Source organism: Homo sapiens, chromosome 17, assembly GCF_000001405.40.
Source record: "Homo sapiens chromosome 17, GRCh38.p14 Primary Assembly".
NCBI classification, from domain to species: Eukaryota; Metazoa; Chordata; class Mammalia; order Primates; family Hominidae; genus Homo; species Homo sapiens.
This window is the reverse complement of record NC_000017.11, coordinates 78,207,748-78,226,130: the sequence shown is the minus strand read 5'-3', so window position 1 is coordinate 78,226,130 and position 18,383 is coordinate 78,207,748. Positions and strand designations below refer to the sequence as shown.

Here is an 18,383-nt window from a genome sequence, read left to right as displayed (position 1 = left end):
CCTAGAATCAGACAGCCGACCATAGCCACCCTCCCAAGCTGACAGTGTCCTTCAGCAGTGAGGGCCCAGCTCTGGAGCCAGATTGCCTGGGTTCAAATCCCAGCTCTAAAAGTTACTTATTCGACTATCCTGGACAAGTTATTTCATTTCTACAAGTCTTCATTTCTGCATTAAAAAATGGTAGCTAGGTCAGGCCCAGTGGCTCACGCCTATAATACCAACAAGTCGGACGCTGAAGCAGGATGATCACTTGAGCCCAGGAGTTTGAGACCAGCCTGGGCAACAAAGTGAGATTCCATCTAAACAAAAAAAAAAATTTTTCAATTAGCCGGGTGTGATGGCGTGCGCCTGTAGTCCCAGCTACTTGGGAGGCTAAAGTGGGAGGTTCACTTGAACGCAAGAATTTGAGGTTGCGGTGAGCTGTGGTCATTCCACTGCACTCCAGCCTGGGAGGGCAAGGCCTTGTCTCAAAAAAAAAGAAAAAGAAAAAAAAAGTAGATAAAACCACATGAGACTTTATTGGCAATTGTGAGTTACTCTTTCCACATGGCGACAGCCTGCAATGGGGGCTCCAGTTTGGCTTGCTGGTCTCTTCTGGGCAGCGGGCACTGCTGTCTCTACTTTCCAGGATGGCAGTTGGCCCGAGGGGCTCTAACCTGCCATTGGAACCTCACCCATAGCCCAGAAGCCTCATTCACAACCCTTCCCAGACTCCACTCCAACTTAGAGAACCTGAAAAATGGACATGTGGACATGTATCTGAAAGAAAGTCTAGGCGGTTGCACTTAGACAAGGGCCTACGGCTTTATTAACAGATGTCGAGGAAGCTTTCAGGTGCTGGTAGCCATGAGGGTCTGGTTTTAAGGATGGCCTTTAAGGAAAGGCCGTGGCAGGCGGGCTGAGAGGGGCGGCTCCAGCTCAGCCCTGCCCACAGCACAGGCTCACAGAAGCCGAGATCCACATCACCGCCTGGCATGCAAAGGAGTTGAAGACAAAACCATTTTTTTCCAGCTTCTCTACAAAGCCAATTACTAAGCAACAGTTATTAAAGTGAAGTATCCATTTACAGACTGACACAAATATCAAAAATAAGCAGCTTAGATGAGTACAGAGGCTGGAGTGCATTTTCTGCTAACAAAAACCACTGTGATATTCTCCCAGTTTAGAGGGAAAAGTCTATCTCAGGCCGACTCAGATGTGGCAGAAATAAGTGGGTCTGAAGTGCATTTTCAGTTGTTTCTGCCCGGAAGGAGCCCGGATGATACAAACAGGTCTGGGGTTCGTGGCTCTGGCAAGCGCCCAGAGACAACTGCGTCTCTGCCAGGACGCTCATCCTCACTGCGGCTGTCTGGGCAGATGGCTGTTGGCAGGCTAGGGACGACGATGAAAAACTGACAATATTTTAAAAACCCAGTAGGGTCCACAGCAGTGTTTGAAATGACAGGCTTTTTATTTCTCAGGAACAGCCGAGATGACCTCCAGAGGTTTCCAGCGAAGCTGTAACAATCCACCCTGCAGCTCTATGACAGGGAGGAGGGCGAATCAAATCCATCATCTTACGCCAGACTTCAGCCCTGCGGGAGCTGCTGCCTCCAAAGAAAGCGGGGACCTGGGCGGACTGCGTCTCTCCCCCGTGTGGAGAACGTGACAGATGTGAAGGTTGGGCTGACAGACACACGGCCTGCAGCAGCCCAGCCAGTCCCCCACAGCATCGAGCCAAGTCATTTAAAAAGGATTTAGGCCACTGCCTTTTTCTGAGGGAGGAGCGGCCAGCATGTGCCCCGCGGCTCACTGGGCCTGTCTAATCACACAGCAGTGGCAAAAGGAGTATCTGCCAGACGCTTCCTATCACTCTATTCTGTCTCCTCATCCACCTGAAGTTCACCCCGTTTCCCCAATGACTTAGAATGGCTTTGTGCTTAGTTTTAATTGTAGTTTGTGCTATTCTGTGAATTAACAATTCAAACAAAATAAGAAAGCCATGTTGTTAAACAGTAGAGGAGCCAGGGACTCTGTCTCCATTCTCTCATCACACACAAGTCATGCATCTACCAAAAAAAAAAAAACAAAAAAACACAACAACAAAAAAACTGTCCTCTGAGGAGGCACAGGTGTGACAGATAAGGAACCTGCAGCTCAGATTCAACAGGCACCTGCCAAGTCCACACTCAGGACTGTGACAGCCTCAACAACATGAGGTCCAGACACATTCACTGTGGAAGGCTCTGCCCACGCGAACAAAGCTGTCAGCTCTAGCAAAAGGGACACTGCCTTCTTCCTCCCTCACTTCTCACCTGGTAAGCCCGGGAATCAAAACAGCAAAAATGAGCCCCCAAAAAAGAGAGAGAGAGAGAGAAGCAGCCACTGTTACCAGCAGCACCCGCTGCACAGGCAGAAGCACCTCTGGTGCCACTTTCAAGACAAAACAAGAGCACAGTTGAAACATCTAATTTGAAAATGTTGATCTCCTTTCCTAAGACATTGCTAAGGGGCCCACAGGAAGGCTGGTGGCACCAGGGAATAAACCCTGGAAGTGGTGCAGCCACTCTGGGACCAGGCAGCTCCGGCCAGAGGCCTCAATCCATGGCAGCCAGCTGCTCGATGGCACGGCGCACTTTCTCCGCAGTTTCCTCAAATTCTTTCTTCTTATTGTTGGTTTCCTTTGCCTGGAAATAAAGAATAGACACATGACACTGAAACCAGAGCTTCCCAGTCACATCCTGTAGATAAGATGACAAAGGAAAAAACAATCAGGGAACACTGAGAGAGCACCTAAATAAACTGGGCACTGGGCTAGGCAGATTCCCAGCTACCTGGGACAAACATCCTGATTCAGCTCAACTCCCTCTAGTTTAAGCTGCCTCCTAATCATCGAATAACAGGAAACACTGACGGAGTGCTTGGTATGCACCCAGCACCACTCTACCTGCTTCCTCCATTAACTGATTTATGTTCACAGTGATCCTGCGCTGGGTGCTCCCATATCTCTACTATACAGGTGAGGAAACCGAGGTCCAGGCTGAAGGAGCCACTCAAAGTACCCAGCTAGTCTAGGCACCCCAGCTAGTCTGGGCACCCCAGCTAGTCTAGGCACCCCAGCTAGTCTAGGCAGAGCTCTGCTCTTAACCACTGCCCTACCTTTCTCCTGAAACTCCTGGAGGAAAGTCCAGAGCCTTCCTCTTCATGTCCAGTTAAACAGACCCTGGCAAACATCAGGCTCTTCCTCGAACAGAAATTCTTTTGCTTCCAGTCCCTCCCTGAATCTGGCTTCCAATTTTTTCATTCTGCTAACAGAGCTCTCTCCTAAGGGGCAAATGACAATCACATTAGCAAATCCAGGGACCCCCTTCCCTACCATATTTTTTATAAACCCTAACTCCTCTACTACATTAAAAAACAAAGACCTTTATTGGGTTAAATTTGTTTGCTGACAGAGGTTAACTTAAAAAAAATTACTTTTTTTTTGAGACGGACTTTCGCTCTTGTTGCCTTGGCTGGTGTGCAAAGGCACGATCTTGGCTCACCGCAACCTCTGCCTCCCGGGTTCAAGAGATTCTCCTGCCTCAGCCTCCCGAGTAGCTGGGATTACAGGCATGCGCCACCACCCCGGCTAATTTTGTATTTTTAGTAGAGATGGGGTCTCTCCATGTTGGTCAGGTTGGTCTCGAACTCATGATCTCATGTGATCTGCCCGCCACGGCCTCCCAAAGTGCTGGGATTACAGGTGTGAGCCACTGTGCCAGCCAAAAAATTACTTTTCAATATGTACTTTATATATCCTAAGTTTTACCTCATGTATAAGTAATAAAAATTTGTCATTTTTTAATATAAATTTATAATTTATAAATTATTAAAAGAAAATTTAATTTAAAAATAATAAATTGATAAGAAAAAAGAAAACAGTGCACCGTTTGGTTTTTTTTTTTTTAGAGACAGGGTCTCGCTCTGTCATCCAGGCTGGAATGCAGTGGCAAGATCATGGCTTACTGCAGCTTTGACCTGCAAGGCTCAAAGTGATCCTCCCACCTCAGCCTCCTGAGTAGCTGAGACTACAGGCACGTGCCACCATGCCTGGCTAATTTTTTGTGTATTTTTTGAAGAGATGAGGTCTGGCCACATTGCCCAGGCTCGCCTCAAAACTCCTGGGCTCAATGAATCCTCCTGCCTTGGCCTCCCAAAGTGCTGGGATTCAGGCACAAGCCACTGCACCTGGCCCAGCAGCGCACTTATAATGGACTGTGATGGACAACTCTGCAGTCCCAGGGAGCCTCAGCTTTACTGATATGGAAAGATGACCATGGCTTTTAAAATATATATACACACATGGATTATTCAGTTTCTTCTCTTTCAAAAAAGCCTTAAATTAGCGAAGCTCCTTTGCATACATGCTATAATTTAACCACCCCAATGTGGAGGTCAATATCTCCATTTTATACATTTTTCCACTAAAGGTAGGGGCGAAGCAAACACAACTCTTGCTATTGAAAGACAAAACAGGCCGGGTGCGGTGGCTCACGCCTGTAATCCCAGCACTTTGGGTTTGGGTTTGTAATCCCAGCGCCTGTAGTCCCAGCTACTTGGGAGGCTGAGGCAGGCGAATGGAGTGAACCTGGGAGGCGGAGCTTGCCGTCAGCCGAGATCACGCCACTGCACTCCAGCCTGGGCGACAGAGTGAGATTCCATCTCAAAAAAGAGAAAAAAAAAAATTTAAAATTAGCCAGGCATGGTGGCATGCGCCTGTAGTCCCAGCTACTGGGAGGCTGAGGCAGGAGGATTGCTTGAGTCCAGGAGGTCGAGGCTATAGTGAGCTGTGATTGCGCCACTGTACTCCAGCCTGAGCAACAGAGCAAGACCCTGCCAAAGAAAACAAACAAAACACTCCTGCCACCCAGGTCTACAACTCGCCTCTCCTTCTAGTGCTTCGTTTTGTCCTCATCACAAGTATTTACCAAGTAAACTCTTATGAAGAACTAAGTTGTTCAGTTTATTTCCACATTAAATTTATTTCCTGATCGATTTTCACACTGGTTCTAATTTATTTCATTGTTTCAAAAGCTAAGCACCGAGGCAGCAGCAGGAACAAGAATCAGCGCCCAATGCATCGCCCTGGATGGCCGGGCCTCAGCTTCCACAGCAGCGCCCTCCTGGCACCCTGGCAAGGCAGCAGACAGGGGCATCCTGCCATCAAATCTGGGATCTTGGGAATCCCCAGCATCACCAGCAACAGCATCCTTGTCTTCAGGATTTGTATAGCGCAACACACGCACCTGTGGTCCCAGCTACTTGGGAAGCTGAGGTGGGAGAATCATTTGAGCCCAGGGGGTCGAGGCTGAGGTGAGCCAAGATCACACCACTGCACTCAGCCTGGGTGACAGAGTAAGACCCCGTCTCAAAAAAACAACAAAAAAAAGATTATATTGTTTCAAAATTAAAGTAATAAAAACAAATCCATAAAAGTATTCTGTATTCTGAATTGGGGAAAACAAACAAACAAAAAAAACAGTTCAAAATAAAAGCCAAGCAGTTTTTAAATCTCCCTACTTTTCTTGCAGGCTGTAATGTCTCCCCTCTTTCCAGTGTGGCTGGGTCTGACTATCAGGAGATAGAGACCGAGAGGTCTCCTGCAGGGACTGAGGCCTCTACTTCTGCCTACTGCGCCTTCAGCTCACACATCATGAAAGCCTACTTTTTTTTTTTTTTTTTGAGACGGAGTCTCGCTCTGTCGCCCAGGCTGGAGTGCAGTGGCGCGATCTCGGCTCACTGCAAGCTCCACCTCCCAGGTTCACGCCATTCTCCTGCCTCAGCCTCCCGAGTAGCTGGGACTACAGGCGCCCGCCACCACGCCCAGCTAATTTTTTGTATTTTTAGTAAAGACGGGGTTTCACCATGTTAGCCAGGATGGTCTCGATCTCCTGACCTCGTGATCCACCCGCCTCGGCCTCCCAAAGTGCTGGGATTACAGGCGTGAGCCACCATGCCCGGCCCTGAAAGTCTACTTTTCTTAATCACATCTTCCAACAGGTGAGTGGACTCCCCCTACCAGACTGCATCTTCATCCCTGTAACCCTAGAGCGGAGCACCCCGCAGCGTCCACCAGCACTTCAGGGCTTTCTGGAACTGGATGGTGTCAGATTTCAGTTGCTCTATTTGCAAGGGCAAAAACCCTCTGTCTTTCTCAGCGCTCTGGGACCTGGTTTCCAGCTCACACCTCCACATCCACTCTGCTCCTCCCCTGTGCCCATGATGGTTCCAGGCACACAAGCTGCTCCTTGTCTAAAACAGGGCTTGGCAAGCAAGGGCCTGCTGGGCCAAATCCATACAGCCCGTCATGGCCTTTTTTTGTCCAGCCCACGGGCTAAGAATGCTTTTTATGTTTCTAAAAGGTTGTGAAAAACAACAAAAGACAATATGCAACAGAGACTCTGACCCACGAGGGCTAAGAGATGGTCTATGGCACGCTGCAGAAAAGCTGGCTGACCCCTGACCTGGAAAAAGATGATCCCCAGCCCACTTTCCAGTTCCCACGCTGCAGCTCCCACAACCTCAACCAGGTGACAAGCTCTCTCACAGCATGCTTCACCCACAACTGGCCTCTTCCTGACAAAACACAATCTCAGTCCTTAGCACTTAAAAGCCACTATATTGAGGCCAGGTGTGGTGGTTCACACCTGTAATCCCAGCACTTTGGGATGCCAAGGCGGGCAGATCACTTGAGGCCAGGAGTTCGAGACCAGCTTAGCCAACATGGCAAAACCCTGTCTCTACTAAAAATACAAAAGTTAGCTGGGCCTGGTGGCACACACCTATAATCTCAGCTACTTGGGAGCCTGAGGCACGAGAATCGCTTGAACCTGGGAGGTGGAGGTCGCAGTGAGCCAAGATCGCACCACCACACTCCAGCCTGGGCGACTGAGTGACACTCTGTCTCAAATTAAAATAAAGCCACATATAAGGACAGAATTATTTTACGCTGATCTCTACAAAGGAATACAATTTTCAAGCTGAAAAGCAACCTGAGAAACCATGGGATAGGGGGTCTAACCTCTATTTAGCAAGGAAAGCATGAGCACGACTGGCTTAAACTCAAAGTCTGCAAGTGGCAGAGACAGAACTACAACATCTCCTGACTCTCCACCCAGGGCTTTGCTACAAGGATATGGAATCCCCCAGTACTTATTCTGTGTGGGGCTGCCAGACTTAGCAAATAAGAATATATGACGCCCAGGCCTGGTGCAGTAGATCACACCTGTAATCTCAGCGCTTTGGGAGGCCGAGGCAGGCAGATCACTTGAGGTCAGGAGTTTGAGACCAGCCTGGCCAACATGATGAAACCTTGTCTCTAATAAAAATACCAAAAAAAATTAGCCAGGCGTGGTGGTGGGCACCTGTAGTCCCAGCTACTCAGGAGGCTGAGGCAGAAGAATGGCGTGAACCCGGGAGGCGGAGCTTGTAGTGAGCTGAGATCGTGCCACTGCACTCCAGCCTGGGCGACAGAGCAAGGCTCTGTCTCAAAAAAAAAAAAAATCAAAAAATTTTAAAAAGACCACGCATGGTGGCTCATGCCTGTAATCCCAGCACTCTGGGAGGCTAAAGCGGGCAGATCACAAGGTCAGGAGTTTGAGACCAGCTTGGCCAGCATGGTGAAACCCCGTCTACTAAAAATACAAAAATTAGCCAGGCATGGTGGTGCGTGCCTGTAGTCCCAGCTACTCGGGAGGCTAAGGCAGGAGAATCGCTTGACCCCGGGAGGCAGAGGTTGCAGTGAGCCGAGATCGTGCCACTGCACTCCAGCCTGGGTGACAAAGTGAGACTCGTCTCAAAAAAAAAAATTAAAAATAAATAAATAAATAAATAAATAAATAAAGCCCAGTTACATTTCAACTTCAGATAAATGACTAAGTTTCTAGTAAATACTGACACAAAATGTGGGATTTACTTATACCGGTATATACTTATACCGGCCACACTCCAGGAGCTTTAAAATCACACAGACATCCTAGGGGCTTTAAAAATGATTCCTAGCTGGGCACGGTGGCTCATGCCTGTAATCTCAGCACTTTGGGAGGCCCAGGCAAAAGGATCCCTTGAGCTCAGGAGTTCAAGACCAGCCTGGACAACACAGGGAACCCTCATCTCTATGAAAATAAATAAATAAATAAATAAATAAATAAATAAGGTGGGCATGGTGGGGTGCGCCTGTAGTCCCAATTACTTGGGAGGATGAGGTGGGAGGATCACTTGAGCTCAGGAGTTCGAGGCTGCAGTGAGCTATGGTGTACCACTGCACTGCAGCCCAGGTGACAGAGTGAGTCCCTGTCTCAAAAAAATAAAAATAGCCGGGTGTGGTGGCTCACACCTGTAATCCCAGCACTTTGGGAGGCCGAGGCAGGCAGATCACGAGGTCAGGAGATCGAGACCCTCCTGGCTAACACGGTGAAAACCCGTCTCTACTAAAAATACAAAAAAATTAGCCGGGTGTGGTGGCGGGCGCCTGTAGTCCCAGCTACTCGGGAGGCTGAGGCAGGAGAATGGCTTGAACCTGGGGGGCGGAGCTTGCAGTGAGCCGAGATCCCGTCGCTGCACTCTAGCCTGGGCGACAGAGCAAGACTCCATCTCAAATAAATAAATAAATTTAAAAATAAAAATACTTCCTGAGGCCAGGTGTGGTGGCTCACACCTATAATCTCAGCACTTTGGGAGGCTGAGGCGGGTGGATCACCTGAGGTCAGGAGTTCAAGACCAGCCTGGCCAACATGGTGAAACCTCGTCTCTACCAAAAATACAAAAATTACCTGGGTGTGGTGGCACATGCCTGTAATCTCGGCTACTTGGGAGGCTGAAGCAGGCAAATCACTTGAGCCCAGGAGGCGGAGGTTGCAGTGATCCGAGATCAGGCCACCCCACTCCAGCCTGGGTAACAGAGTGAAACTGTGTCTCAGAACAAAAAAAAAAAAGCCAGGCGTGGTGGTTCACGCCTGTAATCCCAGCACTTTGGGAGGCCAAGGTGGGCGAATCACGAGGTCAGGAGTTCAAGACCAGCCTGGGCAATGTGGTGAAACCCCATCTCTACTAAAAATACAAAAATTAGCTGGGTGTGGTGGCACTTCCCTGTAATCCCAGTTACTTGGGAGGCTGAGGCAGGAGAATCACTTGAACCCGAGAGGCAGAGGTTGCAGTGAGCCAAGATTGCACCATTGCACTCCAGCCTGGGCAACAAGAGTGAAACTCTATCTCAGAAAAAAAAAAAAAATGCTTCCTGAGGAAAACACAGAGTCCCTTTGAGGGACTAGGTAGTTTAGTGCTAAAGACATTGAACAGGGTTTGAGCAGTTCTTATTCCCAATACATACAATTTTGTTCTTGGCTCTTTCTCTGTCCAGTTTCAAAAATTCACCAAGGGTTAATTCTTCAAACTGCTTCTTGACAGAAAGGAAAGCGCAACCGGACGAATGCTTTTTATGTTCCTCTCTAGAAAAATCAAAACAACAGCGGAAAGGCAGCTGAAGGGATTAAAGCGGCAGTCCACTCCCCACGGGCCACCTCCCCACGCCCTCCACAGGCACACCCTGCTCTGCCTCAGGAGTAAGACGTCAAGTCTGAAGTTGATGGCATCAGTGCTTTGCCCAAGCCACATTCCCATATGGCACCTCTTAGCACCTTCTCTCTCCCTGTGGACATCTCCCCCCACATCTGTGTGGCTAATGTATCTATTTTATCTGGACTTCCTTAGCAATTAGTTGGAAAAGTGTTACATGGTATATGTCCAAAGGAATTACATGTCAAATCCCTCCAACATTCTCAAGGAACTGTTTGAAGTAATTTCATTTCACTGGAATTGTTATGTAATCCACTGTAAAGATTTTTTTCTTTTTTTTTTTTTTTTGAGACGGAGTCTCATTCTGTCGCCCAGGCTGGAGTGCAGTGGTGCAATCTCGGCTCACTGCAAGCTCCGCCTCCTGGGTTCACGCCATTCTCCTGCCTCAGCCTCCCGAGTAGCTGGGACTACAGGCGCCCACCACCACGCCCGGCTAATTTTTTGTATTTTTAGTGGAGACGGGGTTTCACCGTATTAGCCAAGATGGTCTCGATCTCCTGACCTCGTGATCCGCCCGCCTCGGCCTCCCAAAGTGCTGGTATTACAGGCGTAAGCCACCGTGCCCGGCCCACTGTAAGGATTAAGGGCAGAGAAGGGCATTATTGCCCCGGGTTCCCCAAGGGACCCCCTAGCTCACACTCTCATTTTCTGCTAGGGGAGTCTCCCTGTATAACTGACTATCACCGTTACCAGAACTGCATTACAATGAAAACATGGCCACACAAAGTCCAAAAAGACAGCCAGTTGTAACTCTAATCTGAAAATATCATAACACTTATTCATTTTCAAGAAGAATACCACTGATCTTTTCCCAGTGATTACGGGGATGCAGTATAACCACCATAGCAAACATACTAAGAAAAAAAACAGCTACTCTCTTCTGGCCAAAAAGAAAAACAACTGGGGTGATTCTCCAGGGGAAAAAAATTAAAGCTGTGGAAGCAACTGAATCCGACAGAAAAAAAGGTGAGAAAAGAATATGGCATTACAGTGTGGAAAGACAGATACCATCCGAGTACAGAATTTCATTGTCATTAACTAGGCATCTTGAAGAAAAAAATCCAGAACAACACTGAAGTATATGCTTTCTTTCTTTTTTTTTTTTCAATTTTTTATTTTTATGACGGAGTCTCGCTCTGTCGCCGAGGCTGGAGTGCATTGGCACAATCTCGGCTCACTGCAACCTCCGCCTCCCAGGTTCAAGCGATTCTCCTGCCTTAGCCTCCCGAGTAGCTGGGATTACGGGCGTGCGCTACCATGCCCGGCTAATTTTTGTATTTTTAGTAGAGACGGGGTTTCGCCAAGTTGGCCAGGCAGGTCTTGAACTCCTGACCTCAGGTGATCCGCCCGCCTCAGCCTCCGAAAGTGTGAAGTGCACACTTTCAAAGGGTAATTTTTGTGCTGTGTAGGTTATATTTCAATTAAACTGTTTTTTAAAAAATCTCAAAAAAAGCACTTGGACGTTCCTGGGAGTTCACAACAACAGGGTCTGCTGATGTATTCTGTTGAACATGAAAGGCATCAGGCATCTTACGTCCACCCCAAGGCATTTTGGTCAAATGAGATTTAATTAGGTTGTAAGCATCACCAAGGCACCAGCATATAGAGAGGTATCCGTTCACAACAGCTGTTTAAGAAGCAATGAGGGTGGAAAGCAACCCTCCCATACTAAGTGTCTTTGCAACTCAAATCTTTTGACAACTCAGTTCAAAACAAAGCCCATCGAGGCTGGCCAGAGAAGACTTACATGGGGTCGTCATCTGGCTCCCAGCCTTCCAGCTCCTTGAAGCAGAAGAAACACTGGGCCAAGTCTGGCTCGTTCTCAGTGGGGCAGTGGATGAAGCCAGCCTCGGCCATCTGCAAGGGACAGCACAGCTCGTGAGTGGACGTGGCAGCCCGGAACCCCGAGGCCCAGCCACAAAGGCCTCGATGGGGACAAAGCAGGGAGGGGAGGCCGGCCTGGACCCAAGGGGCCCAGCCACAGTGGCCTCGCTGGGGACAGGACGGGGAGGGGAGGGCGGCTTGTACCCCCGAGGCCCAGTCACAGTGGCCTCGCTAGGGACAGGGCAAGGCGGGCGTGGGGGACCCCAGGAGGCCGGGCAGTCTCACCCGCTCCGGGGTGCAGGCGCAGCCCTCCAAGAAGGGCCAGTTCTTGAATGTAGAGATGCGGTGGTCCTTGAGAAAGGGCTGCCAGGCAGGGGGCAACGTCGGGGCACCCATGCCGCCGCCGCCACCTCTGCCAACGGGTCCCGCGATTCAAATCTGGCGGTTAATGGCGCGCCGCGGGGCATGTCGGGAGCGCACGCCCTCTTAGGCGGTCCACCCCCCGCGGCCTTCTGGGAGTAGAGGCGGGGCGGCGCGGGGTGTGCCGGGAGTTGTAGTCCTCCCGCCGCGTGGCTCTGCCCGTGGTCGCGGTGCACCCAGCGACGCCGCGCCAGCTCGTCCCTGCCCACACCTAGCGCCCCCTCGACTGCTTTCAAAGAACGCGTGCAGGCCGGGTGCAGTGGCTCACGCCTGTAATCCCAACACTTTGAGAGGCCTAGGCAGGAGCATCACTTGAGTCCTGGAGTTCAAGACCAGCCTGGCCATCACGGTGAAACCTTGTCTCTACTAAAAATACAAAAATTAGCTGGGCGTGGTGGTGCATGCCTGTAATCCCAACTACTCGGGAGGCTGAGGCAGGAGAATCGCTTGAACCCGGGAGGCAGAGGGTGCAGTGAGCTGAGATTGTGCCATTGCACTCCAGCCTAGGCAACAAGAGCAAAACTCAGTCTAAAAAAAAAAAAAAAGTCAGACAGGAGAGCTTTACAGGGTGCCACCTCTGCAAAAAGCATCTACTCCAGACGGGCATGAAGGACAAATGAACAGGGGAGGGATGGAGTGCAGCAGACATCGCTGTCCCGGCGAGTACATCGTTGACTGCACGACCTGGGTTTCCAGGAGGGCCACCTTCTGGAGTCAGGGGCCAGGGACTGGGCCACTACCGTGATAAGAAGACAAGGGAGCTGGGGAAAGCCCAGTGGAGGGTGGGGGCCTGTGCTCAGGGCAAACTCCTCCTTTCCCTTCGCAAAGCAGGGCGTCCCACCAACAGTAAGTCCTGCAGCCTATTAAAAAAAAAATCAGTGTGTCCTCTGCTTTGGAACAGGGTGTTCTGGAGTCACTTCTGGAGCTGGGCATCACATCCACTCACTTCTCTGGTTCTATGGCCAGAGATAAGAGGCCTGGCCTTATTAGCCCTCCAGCCCCACGCAGGCCTGGTGCCTCCACTGTCTTTTTCATTTTGGGGTTTATTTATTTATTTATTTATTTTTGCAACCTCTCCCCACCCCTCCCACCCCGCCCCCATTCTTTAATACAGTAACTTTTTATTTTGATGTTTATTTATTTATTTGAAACTGAGTCTCGCTCTATCGCCCAGGCTGGAGTGCAGTGGCATGATCTCAGCTCACTGCAACCTCCTCCCCGCCACGGGTTCAAGCGATTCTCCTGCCTCAGCCTCCCGAGTAGCTGAGATTAAAGGCATGCACCACCACACCAGGCTAATTTTTGTATTTTTAGTAGAGATGGGGTTTCACCATGTTTGCCAGGCTGGTCTCAAACTCCTGACCTCAAGTGATCTGCCTGCCTCGGCCTCCCAAAGTGCTGGGATTACAGATGTGAGCCACTGCGCCCGGCCCGATGTCAATTTAAATAAAAGATAATTGCAAGAATAGTACAAAGAATACTCATATACCCTTCACCCAGATTTTCTGTTTATGTTTTGCCTGTTTCCTTTAACATTCACTCTCTGCTTCTTCCTCCCTTTCTCTCCTCCTCTCCCTCTCTTACCCCTTCCCTCTCTCTACTCCCCGCTCTCTCTCTGTCTCCTGTTTTCCTTTCTCTCTCCCTCTCCCCAACCTACTTTCTCTCCCCTAGTCTCTCTCCCCTCATATATGTGAACACACACACATCCCTGTATGTGTATATATCACATGCATGTATATGTATGTATATGGGTGGTTTACCTGAACCGTTTGTAAGTTGAAGGCATTACCATACTACCCCGAAATACTTCATTCTCTTACACAACCACAACACAATCATCAAAATCAGGAAACTTAACTTCGCTGCAGTTATCAAATCCAGTTGACTTTGGCAGGTCGCCCCTGGGTCCTGCTGATTGGCTCGCTAACCGGGCCCTGGCACCACCATGGCCTCTGCTGGGGTGGCCCCCAGGCACAGACCAAGGACGCACCACCTCCACTGGCAACCGCAGCAGTTGCCTGCCCTCAGGAGGGAGGAAAGGAACAACTCCTTTTCACTTTTTTTTTTTTTTTTTGAGACAGAGTCTTGCTCTGTCGCCAGGCTGGAGTGCAGTGCAGTGGCACAATCTTGGCTCACTGCAACCTCCATCTCCTGGGTTCCAGCAATTCTCTGCCTCAGCCCCCCCAGTAGCTGGGATTACATGCGCCCGCCACCATGCCCGGCTAATTTTTTTGTATTTTTAGTAGAGACGGGGTTTCACCATCTTGGCCAGGCTGGTATTGAACTCCTGACCTCGTGATCCACCCGCCTCAGCCTCCCAAAGTGCTGGGATTACAGGCATAAGCCAGCATGCCCGGCCTAACTCCTTTTCACTTCTGCACACAATGTCATCAAATGCATGGACAAGGACAGCCCAGGTGTCCACCTGGACCTGAACACCCTCAAAACCGAGTTCCAGGAGCTTCAAAAGCTCATGGGCACCGGGCCCCCAGCATCCTCCCGAGCCCGAGCAGCAGCTGCAGCCCCACAGCATCCAGGTGTAAGTTAGGACCAGAAGGGGCTTCTACAAAAGTGCCAGAGTCTCTGCACATTTGAAATCCCTGAGAAGCAGAGTGAGGCTGACTTCAGGAATGGCTGAGAAAGACGGGGGGAAGCAGTGGCCTGTGTGCCCCGACCCCCACACAGTCCCTCGGGGTGTGGTCCCTTTGGACCCCAGCTCTGATTTCAAGCTGCCTGGGGTGGGGCTGCTGTGCTGTGCCCAGCTTGAATATATCCGCATGTCTAGACGCATAACTTGAGTGCCTGAAGGCAGGAGTCAGGATGGTCCTGGAGGCTGGGGAGTGGGTGGAGGATCCTCCCCTGTCTCTGGGAAGGGGGCCATCTGCAGCGAGCCTGGGCCCCATCGGCACATCTGAAGGTGCACCAGGAAAGGAGGGGGCTATTCTTTGCTTCCTTGCCCTCTCTTCTCCCACCCCGAGGTACGATCAGTGCGTACCAAGTACATATCATTCCTGCGATCAGCAGGTGCATGAAATATTTGCATAGCATTCACTGGACAAATTAGGCCTGCGGTGTGGACTTAATATGACAAGAGAAGGCTGTGAGAGAACGAACATAGTTTTTGAAAGGGCAGAGGGGTCAGGCTGGGCACGGTGGCTCACGCCTGTAATCCCAGGACTTTGGGAGGCTGAGGTGGGCAGATCACAAGGTCAGGAGTTCGAGACCAGCCTGGCCAATATGGTGAAACCCTGTCTCTACTAAAAATACAAAAATTAGCCAGGCGTGGTGGTGCGCGCCTGCAGTCCCAGCTACTCAGGAGGCTGAGGCAGGAGAATCGCTTGAACCCTGGAGGTGGAGGTTGCAGTGAGCCAAGATTGCGCCACTGCACTCCAGCCTGGGCAACAAGAGTGAAACTCTGTCTCGGAAAAAAAAAAAAGAAAGAAAAAAGAGCCAGGCGCGGTGGCTCACGCCTGTAATCCCAGCACTTTGGGAGGCCGAGGCGGGCGGATCACAAGGTCAGGAGATCGAGACCGTCCTGGCTAACACGGTGAAACCCCATCTCTACTAAAAAATACAAAAAAATAGCCGGGTGTGGTGGCAGGCGCCTGTAGTCCCAGCTGCTCGGGAGGTTGAGGCAGGAGAATGGCGTGATCCCGGGAGGCAGAGCTTGCAGTGAGCCGAGATCACGCCACTGCACTCCAGCCTGGGCGATAGAGCAAGACTCTGTCTCAAAAAAAAAAAAAAAAAAAGAAAGAAAGAAAAAGAAAAAAAGAAAAGGCAGAAAGGCAGAAGAGTCTTTTCCTCCCACAATAGTTGGGTTCCTTTTATGTTTGAGCCCCAGTGAACTGTATCCGTGGGGGTGTCAGCCCCGAGCCCGCTGCGCAGCCCCTGTCTCCTGGGTCCCCACCTCCTTTCTCCTTACCTTCAGCTCACCCCCTCCAACTCCTGCCACCTTTGGAGAGTGACCAAGCCTCTTCCCATCTGCAGTGCTTCCCGATGCTGGCAGGTGCTGTCCTGTCCACCCAGGCTCAAACAGGATGTCAGGCGAACAGATCTTTCCTCAAATGGCATTTCAGATTCACATTGCCCTCGTTTAAAAAAGTATTTTCCAGCCCGGGGCGGTGGCTCACGCCTGTAATCTCAGCACTTTGGGAGACCAAGGAGGGAGGATCACTTGAATCTAGGAGTTCAAGATCAGCCTGGGCAACACTGAGACCCCATCTCTATCAAAAATTTAAAAAATTAGCCAGGAAAGGCCATGCCCGGTGGCTCACGCCTGTAATCCCAGCAGTTTGGGAGGCTGAGGCAGGTGGATCACCTGAGGTCAGGAGTTTGAGACCAGCCTGACCAATATGGTGAAACCCTGTCTCTATTAAAAATACAAAAAATTATCCGGGCATGGTGGTGGGCACCTGTAATCCCAGCTACTCGGGAGGCTGAGGCACGAGAATCGCTTGAATCTAAGAGGCAGAGGTTGCAGTGAGCCGAGATCCTGCCATTGCACTCCAGCCAGAGCAACAAGAGTGAGACTCCGTCTAAAAAAAAAAAAAAAAATCAGTCGGGCGTGCACCTATACTTCCAGCTACTCGGGAGGCTGAGGTGGAAGGATCACTTGATCCTGGGAGGTCGAGGCTGCAGTGAGCCATGATTGGGCCACTGCACTCCAGCCTGGGAGAAAGAGTGAGATACAGTCTCAAAAAAAAAAAAGACTTTCTTTTTTTCTTTTTTTTTTTTTTGAGATGGAGTCTTGCTCTGTGGCCCAGGCTGGAGTGCAATGGCATGATCTCGGCTCACTGCAAACTCCAGCTCCTGGGTTCGAGTGATTCTCCTGCCTCAGCCTCCCAAGTAGCTGGGATTACAGGCCTGCACCACCACGCCCAGCTAATTTTTTGTATTTTTAATAGAGACGGGGTTTCACCATGTTGGCCAGGCTGGTCTTGAACTCCTGACCTCAGGTGATTCACCCACCTCAGCCTCTCAAAGTGCTGGGATTACAGGCATGAGCCACCGTGCCCTGCCAAAAAAAGGATATTTTGAGAGAAAGAGAGCAACCCCATAAGTTTGTTTTGTTTTGTTTTGTTTTGAGACAGAGTTTCACTCTTGTTGCCCAGGCTGGAGTGCAATGGTGTGATCTTAGCTCACTGCAACCTCCGCCTCCCAGGTTCAAGCGATTCTCCTGCCTCAGCCTCCCAAGTAGCTGGGATTACAGGCATGTGTCACCATGCCCGGCTAATTTTTTTTATCTTTAGTAGAGACGGGGTTTTGTCATGTTGGCCAGGCTGGTCTCCAACTCCTGACCTCAGGTGATCCACCTGTCTCAGCCTCCCAAAGTGCTGGGATTACAGGCATGAGCCACAGCACCTGGCTTCACATAACTTTGATCACAGTATATTGTTTTAATCGTTCTACTTTATTAGTTATTGTTAATCTCTTAGAAGGAATATTTATATACCCTTTGCCAATTTATAAATTAAACTTTATCGTAGGTATGTATATACAAGAAAAAACATAGTGTATATAGGGTTCAGTATTATCCATGGTTTCAGAGGGTCTTGGAGTGAATCCTACAGATAAGGGAGGCTACTGTGGCTCTTGGAGATATTCCACATGGTCAACATAGATCTCTTTGTAATGGCTGCAGGGTTTGATGCTGCTTGAATGCGTTTATTCCCTAATGAACACTAGGCTGTTTCTTGTTTTTTTTTTTTTTGCTATACTCAATAATGTCACGGTGGAAATTCTTTTTTACCCCCCCCCCCAACTTTTACTTTAAGTTCCAGGGTATATGTGTAGGATGTGCAGGTTTGTTACACAGGTAAATGTGTGTCATGATGGTTTGCTGCACACATACAGTGGAATTTTTTTTTTTTTCTTTGAGATGGAGTCTGGCTTTGTCACCCAGGCTGGAGTGCAGGGGCACAATCTCAGCTCACTGCAACCTCTGCCTCCCGGATTCAAGAGATTCTCCTAACTCAGCCTCCCACGTATCTAGGATTACAGGCGCCAGCCACCACGCCTGGCTAATTTTTGTATTTTTAGTAGAGACAGGGTTTTGCCATGTTGGCCAGGCTGGTCTTGAACTCCTGACCTCAGGTGATTCGCCCACCTCGGCCTCCTAAAGTGCTGGGATTACAGGCACTAGCCCCTGCGCCCAGCCCACAGTGGAAATTCTTGAATGCTATTCGGTGTGAGAGAAAGAGGCGGTGTGGTGGGGTGGGTGGTGGATGGATATAGCTGGCTTCTTGGGACATGCACACCACTCTCGGGTGCAGAGGAAGCTTGTCCTACATGTGGGTAGCATTGTCCTGTCAAGGTCAAGGTGTTGGCCCCAACGCTGAGACCCCGGGGCATTCAGGGACAGACCCAAATGTCAGGGAGATGGAGGACAGAGCAGACAGGAGACTGAAGCAGAAGGCAGAGGGTAGCTGGCTTGGGGAAGCCCTTACCCAGGGGTCCGCAAACTTTTCCTGAAAAGGGCCAGATAGGAAATGCTTCAGGCACTACGGGCCAGGAGGTCACTGTCACCACCACTCAGCTCCACCCTG

The 18,383-nt window shown here is 50.0% G+C and overlaps 1 protein-coding gene across 3 annotated transcripts, besides 2 other annotated features; it reads right to left on the bottom strand.

Annotated features, from left to right (window-relative positions):
* BIRC5 (baculoviral IAP repeat containing 5) lies at nt 496-11,878 on the bottom strand. Of its 3 annotated transcripts, NM_001012271.2 has the most exons (5): nt 11,704-11,878; nt 11,342-11,451; nt 10,097-10,165; nt 9,350-9,467; nt 496-2,666 (listed from the first exon to the last, which is right to left on the bottom strand). In NM_001012271.2, exons 1-5 carry the CDS (start codon nt 11,812-11,814, stop codon nt 2,577-2,579), a joined length of 498 nt encoding a protein of 165 aa, NP_001012271.1. In that variant the 5' UTR covers nt 11,815-11,878; the 3' UTR covers nt 496-2,576. The 3 variants fall into 3 exon arrangements, with proteins under 3 accessions (NP_001012271.1, NP_001159.2, NP_001012270.1); NM_001168.3 differs by lacking the exon at nt 10,097-10,165; NM_001012270.2 differs by lacking the exons at nt 9,350-9,467; nt 10,097-10,165.
* Nucleotides 11,232-12,133: an enhancer, noted in NCBI's record as "H3K27ac-H3K4me1 hESC enhancer chr17:76210079-76210980 (GRCh37/hg19 assembly coordinates)". NCBI's record gives its function as "activates a minimal SCP1, AML or CMV promoter by ChIP-STARR-seq in naive H9 embryonic stem cells {active_cell/tissue: H9 hESC(naive)}" and the evidence as "EXISTENCE:reporter gene assay evidence [ECO:0000049][PMID:30033119]".
* Nucleotides 14,030-14,233: a silencer, noted in NCBI's record as "fragment chr17:76207979-76208182 (GRCh37/hg19 assembly coordinates)". NCBI's record gives its function as "represses an EF-1alpha promoter that drives an FKBP-Casp9 reporter gene in an ReSE screen in both phorbol 12-myristate 13-acetate-treated (for megakaryocytic differentiation) and untreated K562 erythroleukemia cells {active_cell/tissue: K562 | K562(+PMA)}" and the evidence as "EXISTENCE:reporter gene assay evidence [ECO:0000049][PMID:32094911]".